Source organism: Homo sapiens, chromosome 12, assembly GCF_000001405.40.
Source record: "Homo sapiens chromosome 12, GRCh38.p14 Primary Assembly".
Taxonomy (NCBI): Eukaryota; Metazoa; Chordata; class Mammalia; order Primates; family Hominidae; genus Homo; species Homo sapiens.
This window is the reverse complement of record NC_000012.12, coordinates 7,887,507-7,899,845: the sequence shown is the minus strand read 5'-3', so window position 1 is coordinate 7,899,845 and position 12,339 is coordinate 7,887,507. Positions and strand designations below refer to the sequence as shown.

At 45.6% G+C, this 12,339-nt stretch overlaps 1 protein-coding gene and 1 pseudogene across 1 annotated transcript in view, besides 1 other annotated feature; one reads left to right on the top strand and one right to left on the bottom strand.

Annotated features, from left to right (window-relative positions):
- Nucleotides 600-7,484, bottom strand: NANOGP1 (Nanog homeobox pseudogene 1; annotated as a pseudogene).
- Nucleotides 8,639-8,933: a silencer, noted in NCBI's record as "tiled region #8483; K562 Repressive non-DNase unmatched - State 4:PromP". NCBI's record gives its function as "represses a minimal TATA promoter and a strong SV40 promoter by Sharpr-MPRA in K562 cells {active_cell/tissue: K562}" and the evidence as "EXISTENCE:reporter gene assay evidence [ECO:0000049][PMID:27701403]".
- SLC2A14 (solute carrier family 2 member 14) overlaps nt 8,650-12,339 on the top strand; it is a 78,683-nt gene continuing 74,993 nt past the window's right edge. Inside the window, exon 1 of the mRNA NM_001286237.2 lies at nt 8,650-8,850. Coding sequence (NP_001273166.1) covers nt 8,719-8,850 — 132 coding nt within the window. The 5' untranslated portion in view covers nt 8,650-8,718. The remainder of the gene's footprint in view (nt 8,851-12,339) is intronic.

Genomic DNA, 12,339 nt, shown 5'->3' with positions numbered 1-12,339 from the left:
CTGGCTCTGTCATCCAGGCTGGATTGCTGTGGCACCATCTCCGCTCAGCCTCCCGAGTAGCTGGGATTACAGGCGCCTGCCACCATGCCCAGCTAATTTTTGTATTTTAGTAGAGACGGGATTTCACCATGTTGGCCAGACTGGTCTTGAATTCCTAACCTGTGGTGATCTGCCTACCTTGGCCTCCCAAAGTGCTGCCATTACAGGTGTGAGCCACCACACCCAGCCTCAATAGAGTTTTTAAAAAAATAAACAAAGCCTCCCAATCCCAAACAATAGGAATATATCTTCATCACACCAATTTGTACTTTTATTTCCTTTTCTTTTTCTTTTTCTTTTTTTTTTTTTGAGACAGAGTCTCACTCTGTCGCCCAGGCTGGAGTGCAGTGGCGCGATCTTGGCTCACTGCAACCTCCGCCTCCCGAGTAGCTGGCACTACAGGCGCCCACCACCATGCCCAGCTAACTTTTTTGTATTTTTTAGTAGAGACAGGTTTTCACCGTGTTAGCCAGGATGGTCTCGATCTCCTGACCTCGTGATCCGCCCGCCTTGGTCTCCCAAAGTGCTGGGATTACAGATGTAAGCCACCGCGCCCAGCTTATTTCTCATTCTTGAGGTTAGATTCTAAACCCTAAAGATATCCAAACTAGTATTACATCTACTTATCTATAGCCAGAGACAGCTTCTATCAAGTTGTCTTTAGCAGCCAAGGTTATTAAAATATCTTTTCTCAGGAAAGATCCAATAGGAAAAAAGAAAGAAACCTCTCTGATTAGGCTCCAACCATACCCCACCCTCCATGAGATTGACTGGATAGGCATCATGGAAACCAGAACACGTAGTTTCCATACAAGAAAAATCCTATGAGGGATGGGAGGAGGGGAGAGGAAGGATTCAGCCAGTGTCCAGACTGAAACTGAGTAACATCAATTTCACTCATCTTCACACGTCTTCAGGTTGCATGTTCATGGAGTAGTTTAGGAATAAATCCATGGTTTGTGGAGTATTAAAATACCTAGTGGTCTGCTGTATTACATTAAGGCCTTCCCCAGCAGCTTCCAAGGCAGCCTCCAAGTCACTGGCAGGAGAATTTGGCTGGAACTGCATGCAGGACTGCAGAGATTCCTCTCCACAGTTATAGAAGGGACTGTTCCAGGCCTGATTGTTCCAGGATTGGGTGCACCAGGTCTGAGTGTTCCAGGAGTGGTTGCTCCAGGACTGGATGTTCTGGGTCTGGTTGCTCCAGGTTGAATTGTTCCAGGTCTGGTTGCTCCACATTGGAAGGTTCCCAGTCGGGTTCACCAGGCATCCCTGGTGGTAGGAAGAGTAGAGGCTGGGGTAGGTAGGTGCTGAGGCCTTCTCAAAGAGAAGGAGAGATTAACAGAAAGGGTACAAGGACAACCAGAACTGTCTGTGACTGGAGTTGTGTGTTTCAGGGATGGACAAGATTGAAAGATCACTGAAAGGAAAGAACAGAATGAAGTTTCCTGTTACCTGCGTCACACCATTGCTATTCTTCAGCCAGTTGTTTTTCTGCCACCTCTTAGATTTCATTCTCTGGTTCTGGAACCAGGTCTTCACCTGCAGGAAAAAATGACAGAAATTATAAAATATTAATAATACGGATGTACTTTGAATGAAAGAATACTACTAACTTTTATTCCTGGCCAGGCACCATGTCTCACACCTGTAATCCCAACACTTCGGGAAGCCAAGGTGGGCGAATTGCTTAAGCCCAGGAGTTCGCGCCAGCCTCGCCAAAATGGTGAAACCCTGTCTTTACAAAAATTAAAAAAATTAGCCAGGCATACGCAGTGGCTCACGCCTGTAATCTCAGCACTTTGGGAGGCCGAGGCGGGCGGATCATGAGGTCAGGAGAGCAAGACCATCCTGGCTAACATGGTGAAACTCCGTCTCTACTAAAAATACAAAAAAAAAAAAAAAAAAAAAAAAATTAGCCGGGCGTGGCGGCGCGCGCCTGTAGTCCCAGCTACTCGGGAGGCTGAGGCAGGAGAATGGCTTGAACCCGGGAGGCGGAGCTTGCAGTGAGCCGAGATTGCGCCACTGCACTCCAGCCTGGGCGACAGAGCGAGACTCCGTCTCAAAAAAATAAAATAAAGTAACAAATTAGCCCGGCATAATGGTGTGTGCCTATGGTCCCAGCTACTCAGGCGCGGAGATGGAAGGATCGCTTGCACCTGGGAGGTGGAGGTTGCAGTCAGCCAAGATTGCACAGCTGCATTCCAGCCTGGGCAACAAAGACTGTTTTAAAAAAAATAAAAATAAAAAAGAGAAATGAACATTTTCGATACAAAATAAGGGCTAAAAACAAAAGAAGCTGGAGGCTGCTGGCAGAAAGAAAAAAAGGAAAAAGAAGAGGTAGTTTTTATTTTAATGAGAACCAGTGTAAGTTAGGAATTCTCCTAACCTGGAAAGTAGAGTTATGTAATTCTTTTTTTTTTTTTTTTTTTTTTTTTTTTGAGACGGAGTCTTGACCTTTCGCCTAGGCTGGAGTGCAGTGGCAAGATCTCGGCTCACTGCAACCTCCACCTCATGGGTTCAAGCAATTCTCCTGCCTCAGCCTCCTGAGTAGCTGGGATTACAGGCAACCACCACCACGCCCGGCAATTTTTTGTATTTTTAGTAGAGACGGGGTTTCACCATGTTGGCGAGGCTGGTCTTGAACTCCTGACCTCAGGTAATCTGCCTGCCTTGGCCTCCCAAAGTGCTGGGATTACAGGTGTGAGCTACTGCGCCCGGCCCATAATTCTTTTTGATTAAGGAAACATTGGAAAGATTTTCACAATATTGGTCTATGCAAGAAAAGAAAGTGGTTAAATTATATCACATTCACGTAATAGATATTTAATGAAAGAAAGAGGTGAAGAACCTTCCAATGTGGAGCAACCAGACCTGGAACAATTCAACCTGGAGCAACGAGACCCAGAACATCCAGTCCTGGAGCAACCACTCCTGGAACACTCAGACCTGGTGCACCCAATCCTGGAACAATCAGGCCTGGAACAGTCCCTTCTATAACTGTGGAGAGGAATCTCTGCAGTCCTGCATGCAGTTCCAGCCAAATTCTCCTGCCAGTGACTTGGAGGCTGCCTTGGAAGCTGCTGGGGAAGGCCTTAATGTAATACAGCAGACCACTAGGTATTTTAGTACTCCACAAACCATGGATTTATTCCTAAACTACTCCATGAACATGCAACCTGAAGACGTGTGAAGATGAGTGAAATTGATATTACTCAGTTTCAGTCTGGACACTGGCTGAATCCTTCCTCTCCCCTCCTCCCATCCCTCATAGGATTTTTCTTGTATGGAAACTACGTGTTCTGGTTTCCATGATGCCTATCCAGTCAATCTCATGGAGGGTGGGGTATGGTTGGAGCCTAATCAGAGAGGTTTCTTTCTTTTTTCCTATTGGATCTTTCCTGAGAAAAGACATTTTAATAACCTTGGCTGTTAAGGACAACATTGATAGAAGCTGTCTCTGGCTATAGATAAGTAGATCTAATACTAGTCTGGATATCTTTAGGGTTTAGAATCTAACCTCAAGTATAAGAAATAAAGTACAAATTGGTGTGATGAAGATCTATTCCTATTGTTTGGAATTGGGAGACTTTGTTTATTTTTTTAAAAACTCTATTGAGGCCAGGCACGGTGGCTCACGCCTGTAATCCCAGCACTTTGGTAGGCCAAGGTAGGCAGATCACCTCAGGTTAGGAGTTCAAGACCAGTCTGGCCAACATGGTGAAACCCCGTCTCTACTGAAATACAAAAATTAGCTAGGCGCGGTGGCAGGCGCCTGTAATCCCAGCTATTCGGGAGGCTGAGGCAGTGAGCCGAGATTGTGCCACGGTGAATCCAGCCTGGATAACAGAGCCAGACTCCATCTCAAAATAAAATAAAATAAAAACTCTATTGAGGTGAAGGGTGAAGGGTTAAGCCATAACATACCTCATCTTCATACTTAAATTATTTGCAAGAGGGAGTGTGCTGACACATACCACACACATCTATGTGCATCCACAGAGATCTTAGCCATGCAAATTAGTCCAATTTTTGTTCACCTTATTGCAACGACAAAATAAGCCTACCTGTTTGTAGCTGAGGTTCAGGATGTTGGAAAGTTCTTGCATCTGCTGGAGGCTGAGGTATTTCTGTCTCTGAAATCTATCATTGAGTACACACAGCTGGGTGGAAGAGAACACAGTTCTGGTCTTCTGTTTCTTGACCGGGACCTTGTCTTCCTTTTTTGTGGCACTCTTCTCTGCAGTAGTGGGTTGTTTGCCTTTGGGACTGGTGGAAGAATCATGGCTGTCCTGAATAGGCAGATCCATGGAGGAAGGAAGAGGAGAGACTGTTGGAAACAAATAAAAGGATGCTTTTCTTTAAAACTTTTTCCAAATATTAAAATATTCTGTTAAAAAAGTTGTTTTCAAAGTACTTTGATAATCCCCACAACCCCAGATCTAAGTAATAAGCACCTTCTTATTTATTTATTTATTTAGAGACAGAGTCTTGCTCTGACACCCAGGCAGGAGTGCAGTGGGGTGATCTCCGCTCATTGCAACCTCCGCTTCCCAGGTTCAAGAGATTCTCGGCGGGGGCGGTGCCTCACGCCTGTAATCCCAACACTTTGGGAGGCCCAGGCGGGTGGATCACCTGAGGTCAGGAGTTCAAGACCAGCCTGACCAACATGGAGAAACCCCGTCTCTACTAAAAATACAAAATTAGCTGGGCGTGGTGACACATGCCTGTAATCCCAGCTACTTGGGAGGCTGAGGCAGGAGAATCACTTGAACCTGGAAGGTGGAGGTTGCGGTGAGCCAAGTTCACGCCATTGCACTCTAGCCTGGGCAACAACAGCAAAACTCTGTCTCAAAAAAAAAAGAAAAAAAGATTCTCGTGCCTCAGCTTCCTGAGTAGGTGTGATTACAGGCACCCGCTACCATGCCTAGCTAATTCTTTGTATTTTTAGTAGAGACAGTGTTTCACCATGTTGAGCAGGATGGTCCTGAACTCCTGACCTCAAGTGATCTAGCCGCCTTGGCATCCAAAAATGCTGGGATTACAGGTGTGAGACACTTCGCCCGGCCATAGGCATCTTTTTTTTTTTTTTTTTTTTTTTTTCTGAGACAAAGTCCCACTCTGTTGCCCAAGCTGGAGTGCAGTGGCGCAATCTCGGCTGGTGGCAACCTCCACCTCCTGGGTTCAAGTGATTCTCCTGCCTCAGCCTCCCAAGTAGCTGGGACTACAGGCTCGCGCCACCATGTCCAGCTAATTTGCTTGTATTTTTAGTAGAGAGAGGATTTCACTGTGTTGGCCTGGCTGGTCTTGAACTCCTGACCTCTGGTGATCTGCCTGCTTAGGCCTCTCGAAGTGCTGGGATTACAGGTGTGAGCCACTGCCCCCGGCCCATGATAAGCATCTTCTTTTTTTTTCTTTTTGAGACAGAAGTCTCGCTCTGTCGCCCAGACTGGAGTGAAGTGGTGCAATCTCAGCTCACTGACCTCCACCTCCCGGGTTCAAGCAATTCTCCTGTCTCAGCCTCCCGAGTAGCTAGGAGTATAGGGGCATGCCGCCACGCCCAGCTAATTTTTTGTATTTTAGTAGAGATGGGGGTTTCACCGTGTTGCCCAGGCTGGTCTCGAACTCCTGAACTCTGGCAATCCGCTCGCCTCGGCCTCCCAAAGTGCTGGGATTACAGGCGTGAGCCACCACGCCCGGCCCGAGACTGTGTCTTAAAAAATAAAAAATAAAGCCAGCAACTCACTGCCCAGCTCTCAATGCTAGAACCAGCAGGATATGTGAATTTTGATAGGCTTCTGTTTCAGTCCAAGATTTCCCTTTACTAGCTCTCTGACCTCATCTCCAAAATTATTCCTTCGTTTATTAAAATGAGGTAACCAATTAAAATGGTCCAGCATAGGGCCTGGCATATACTGATTTTGTAACTAAAGTTGGTTCATTTTTAAATTTTTGAAAACTACTGAAAAATTGATTTTCCAAAGAGTGATAGTGGCTTTATGAGTATCCTGAGTATCCCCCACCCCTTGCAGCTACCAGTCAGAAGCGTAAGTACTAGCACAGGTTTTGAAGCCAAACTGGATTTCTAGCTACGTTCTGTTTGACTGTCAGTAGATTAAACTTTCTGGAATTATCTTTACCATAAGGTTTCATCAACACTTCCCAGGACTGATGAGAAGTAGACATAGGAGGTGCTCCCAAACTCAGAGCTGCCCAGTAACATCCACAAACCCAGAGAATGGAGAAGAGACAGCCGTTACTGCCATAGAAAGAAGGTAATTACATAAATTATATATTAATTACAGAAATCTCACCATGATTTGCCATGCCATTTTTGGCAAAACAAAAACATCATGCTTATCCCTGAGCTATGATGTTAGGTCTTCCGGTTAATTAGCAATAAATCTGCTATAGCTGTGTGTCCAGTGCTATGTGAAGATGTACGCATCACCTTCATTTAACTATAATAATACATTTTTTTTTTTTTTGAGACGGAATCTCGCTCTGTCACCCAGGCTGGAGTGCAGTGGCGCGATCTCGGCTCACTGCAAGCTCCGCCTCCCAGGTTCACATGCCATTCTCCTGCCTCAGCCTCCCAAGTAACTGGGACTACAGGTGCCCTCCACCACGCCCAGCTAATTTTTTGTATTTTTAGTAGAGATGGGGTTTCACCGTGTTAGCCAGGATGGTCTCGATCTCCTGACCTCGTGATCCGCCCACCTCGGCCTCCCAAAGTGCTGGGATTACAGGCGTAAGCCACCACGCCCGGCCAATGATACATTTTTGTTTCCACCATGCCTAAGCCCATAGGTTCTCAAATTTACTGCATACTGTTCAACTGCCGAATTCTGTGTCCTTCAACTCAGTGCACACTCCTGAGACCTGGGATATAGTTCAAAGGGCAGGTGCCACCAAGTTACAATTGAAACAGGGGTTTTTTCAGAGGATTAGGTGATATTAACACTTGCTTATAGTAATGGGGTATTATTGCTCAAGAGTGAAATGATCCCTTAACCCTCTCTCCTTCCCTTTTCTCTTAAGGAACTTGGCCTTTCTTTCAAGGATAAATTTCTTTCTTACCAGTCTCTGTGTGAGGCATCTCAGCAGAAGACATTTGCAAGGATGGATGGTTTTCTTCAGGCCCACAAATCACAGGTATAGGTGACCAGTCTTTACAGTCAGATGCTTTGGAGCAAGGCAGGCTTTATGGACAAGCTGGATCCACACTCATGTCATTATTGGAGAAGAGTGGGAAAAATTTAAGAGCTGGACTGGAAAAAAGGCTAAGATGGCTTTAAGACTTTTTTCTGGAAGATCTTAGAGAAATATGACCTCCAGCAGCAAAAGTATCAAGAAGTTGTGATGAAGTGAGTCGCCTCCACAATAACAGGAGGAAACCAGCTCAGTCCAGAAAAATGCTAAAGTCCTGGAGTCTTTAGATTTATAATGAAGGCTCTATCACCCTTAGACCCACCCCTCCTGGGGGGGACACCCCCCCACCCTTGTGAATTCTCAGTTAATCCCGTCTACCAGTCTCACCAAGGCCATTGTAATGCAAAAGTAGCTGCAGAGTAACCCAGACTAGGTGGGGAACTAGAAAACCGAGCAACAGAACCTGAAGACAAACCCAGCAACAAATACTTCTAGGTTCACCACGTTTCCAACTTTTAAATCAGGAATGATGATATTGTCATGTCTTTCAACATTACCCCATGCCCATCTTGTGTGTTTGGGTTTGTTTGTTTGTTTGAGGTGAGAGGGAGGTATGTTTTCCAAAGGAATAAAGTTTTTAGAGTTGGGTTCCAGCACTAACATTTATGGACATAAATAGTCTAAAGTAGCTGGGTGCTGTCGTTCACGCCTGTAATCCCAGCACTTTGGGAGGCCAAGGCGGGCGGATCACGAGGTCAGGAGATGGAGACCATCCTGGCTAACACGATGAAACCCCGTCTCTACTAAAAATACAAAAAATTAGCTGGGTGTGGTAGCACGGACCTGTAGTCCCAGCTACTCAGGAGGCTGAGGCAGGAAGATTGCTTGAACCCGGGAGGCAGAGGTTGCAGTGAGCTGAGATCATGCCACTGCACTCTAGCCTGGGGGACAGAGTGAGACTCCATCTCAAAAAAAAAAAAAAAAAAAGTCTAAAGTTTTCCATTTTCCTTTCTATTCCCAAACCTAACATTCAAGAAACCTGGCCAGGTGCGAAGGTTCACGCCTATAATCCCAGCACTTTGGGAGGCCGAGGTGGGCGAATAACTCTGAGGTCAGGAGTTCGAGATCAGCCTGGCCAACATGGTGAAACCCCGTCTCTACTAAAATATACAAAAAAATTAACCGGGCTGTAGTGGCACACGCCTGTAATCCCAGCTACTCGGCGGGGCTGAGGCAGGAAAGTCGCTTGAACCCAGGAGGCAGAGGTTGCAGTGAGCCGAGATTGTGCCACTGCACTCCAGTCTGGGTGACAGTGAGACCCTGTCTCGAAAAAAACAAAAAAAAAAGAAATAAAAGTAAGATTTCTTTCTCTTTTCCAATTTCCCAAACAGAAAGTAAACTCTTAGCAAATCGCAATTACGTAATTTTTGAAGACACAACTCTGACTCATTCTCCTCTGCACTCTGCTCCTGGGTCTGCACTGGGAGCAGCTGGCTTTGCTCCCACACAACCTGACTTTTGTTCACAATGCAAAGACTCCAACTGTTGAGAGTAGAAGTACTCCTGGGTGTGAAACAAGGAGATGAAATGCGGCATTTCTTTTTTTCTTCTCAGACCTCCACTCTGGAGAAGAGTCAGAATGGGGGCGTCGGGGAGGAGGTAAGTGGAACTAGATAGATCATGCTTCAAGGCAGGTAGTCCATGTCGAGGATGATTTCTTTAAAAAAGGGAAAAACTTGCCCTCCTGTCTCTCTTAATCAGCACAGTGTGTTAAGTGGGGGCTGTCAAGGCCACCAAGACTCACCGAGGCTGAGCTTGCCCGCAGCTGTCCAAAGGGCAGGTACCAGAAGCTTTGTTCTTTGCTGAAGGGGGACTTTGCATAAAAGCCTGAGCTGAATTCCCCCATCCCCCGCTCCCTGTCCCATTGCGTCTAGGGTAAGAGCCTCCGGAGTGAAAGACCAAAGGGAAGGGGGTTGGTGGCTGGAAGGCCAACTTACTATGTTCTTTGCCAAGGAAAGCAATTTGAATAAAGTTGAGGTTTAGGAACCTGTCTGACTTCAGATTTGTTGGACTAGGCTGGCATAAGGGCGTGTTAAAATGAGCTAACAATTTAGTAGAGTTGATCAAAATAAACCAAAAAAACAATTATAATGTTGTGTGATAAGTACTGAAAAAAGTGCACTGGATGCTAAGAGAGTACAAATAATGGAGGATGGGGTCGGGAAGGGATGGGCAGGGAAGACTGGACGATCTTCAGTGATCTGAGAAGGAAAAATGTGGAGAGAAGGGAATTGCAGAAAATTAACAGTTTGGGTAAAGGCATGAGAGAAAATGATGGGTTCCAATACTGTTGTTTAGCAGGACTCAAAGGCAGGGGTGCAACAGGAGGGAGTTGTGGCAGAGAACACGGCAACTAACACTTAGTGAGCAGATTACTATCAGAGCTGTGTGAACCAGAACGACTCCATCTTCAATAGGAGCTGGGTAAAATGAGGCTGAAACCTACTGGGCTGCATTCCCAGATGGTTAAGATGTTCTAAGTCATAGGATGAGATAGGAGGTCAGCACAAAATACAGGTCATAAAGACCTTGCTGATAAAACAGGTTGCAGTAAAGGAGCCAGCCAAAACCTACCAAAACCAAAATGGTGGCGAGAGTGACCTCTGGTAGTCCTCACTGCTACACTCCCATCAGCGCCATGACAGTTTAGGAATGCCAAGGCAACCTGGGGAAGTTACCCTATATGCTCCGAAAAGGGGAGGAATGAATAATCCACCCGTTGTTTAGCATATCATCAAGTAATAACCATAAAAATGGGCAACCAGACGACCAGGCTCATGCCTGTAATCCCAGCACTTTGGGAGGCCAAGGCGGGTGGATCACCTGAGGTCAGGAGTTCGAGACCAGCCTGACCAATATAATGGAACCCTGTCTCTACTAAAAATACAAAAATTAGCCGGGCGTGGTGGCGTATACCTGTAATCCCACCTACTTGGGAGGCTGAAGCAGGAGAATCGCTTGAACCTGGGAGGCAGAGGTTGCAGTGAGCCGAGATTGCACCCCTGCACTCCAGCCTGGGCAACAAGAGCAAAACTCCATCTCAAAAAAAAAAGGGGGAACCAGGTCAGGCACGGTGGCTCACGCCTGTAATCCCAGCACTTTGGGAGGCCGAGGTGGTGTATCACCTGAGGTCAGGAGTTCGAGAACAGCCTGACCAACATGGAGAAACCCGTCTCTACTAAAAATACAAAATTAGCCGGGCGTGATGGTGCATGCCTGTAATCTCTCAGCTACTTGAGAGGCTGAGTCAGGAGAATTGCTTGAATCCGGGAGGCAGAGGTTGGAGTGAGCTGAGATCACACCATTGCACCCCAGCCTAGACAACAAGAGCGAAACTCAGTCTTAAAAAAAAAAAAAAAAAGGGCAACCAGCAGCCCTCTGGGCTACTCTGTCTATGGAGTAGCCTTTCTTTTATTCCTTTACTTTCTTAATAAAGTTGCTTTCACTTTGCCTTGTGGACTTGCCCTGAATTATTTCTTGTGCTCAAGAACCCTCCTGGGGTCTGGATCAGGACCCTTTTCCTGTAACATTAATATGCATGAGGCACTGTCTTGTCCATATTGTAGCCATCTTAATTATATCTAGCCCAAGGCCTGATACCTGTGTATGTATATATTTGATCATCTTGGTTTATATAGAGATGGAGTGTCAAATTGGTCATTGGAAATTAGAGTCCAGAGACCTGAGAAGTAAGTAGGTGACCATAGGTAGAAAAGGACTGTAAGCTTTAAATTAAATCTCTTCTAATTAGTCTATATTCTCCTGATATTCCTTTTTTCTTTTTTTTTTTTTTTTTTGAGACGGAGTCTTGCTCTGTTGCCCAGGCTAGAGTGCAGTGGCACGATCTCAGCTCACTGCAACCTCTACCTCCCAGGTTCAAGTGATTCTCCTGCCTCAGCCTCCGGAGCAGCTGAGACTACAGGCATGCACCACCACGCCTGGCTAATTTTTGTATTTTTAGTAGAGACGGGGTTTCACCATGTTGGCCAGGATGGTCTCGATCTCTTGACCTTGTGATCTGCCAACCTCGGCCTCCCAAAGTGCTAGGATTACAGGTGTGAGCCACTGCACCCGGCCAGTCCAAAATCTTAAAGACATCTTTGTCAACTATGCCTTCAAAATATATCTAGAATTCAATGGCATCTTTCTTGTAATCGTATTGCTTTTGCATGCTTCTGTTTTCCACCATTGAGTGCGTTTTTGATCAGCACATGAACAAGGGCTTGGTGAACCAGCAGAGTGTCAAAAAATGATTATGCTTTTTAAAAACGTGCATTTCTTTATTTCTTTCATTACTGCTTGTGTCACAGGACTGCTGGGGTGGAGATTACCTGTTTCTCTTGCCAAAAGGGTAGGTTCACATTTGGCATGTGTGCCAACCGAAGCTGCAGTTGACCTTTCCTAAGTGCTATAATGAAGAATCAAATGGAGGATAGGGAGGGGGACACTGCATTAAGGAGGTAATGTTAAAGCTAGGTAGATTTCTGGAGGAAGAACCAGAGAGACAACATTGGTGGCAAAAGCCCTGATTCTGGAGATTTCCTGCCTTCTTCCTGGATCAATGAGGGGCCAACTTCATGGTGCTGTGGGAGAACCCAAGGAGGCAAAGACAGACTGTAAAGTACAGGGCCAGAGGAAGGATTCTGTGATTCAGCAGTTTGACTCGTGACTCTGAATGAGAGAAAGCCAAAGGAAGATTTTGAGCTAAGGAGTATCTTGATACGACCGTCTTTAAAAAACAACAAAAAAATCATTCTGACGAATACATTGGGACTAGATTATAGGAAGGCATGGGTGCCAACAGAGATGACAGTTGGGAGACTTCTTGAATAAATCAAGTGATAGGATTTGCATAAGGCAATAGGTAGACTTGGAGATGATTAGAAAAGGTCAAGTGCAGCTTGGATTGACATACATGCCAAATGTGAACCTACCCTTTGGCCAGGCAACACAGGTAACATACATTCTATCTATCTATCTAACTATCTATCTATCTATCTATCTATCTATCTATCTATCTATCTATCTATCTATCTGATTTATCTACCTACTATCACTAGAATATAAGCTCTGTGAGGGCAATTACTT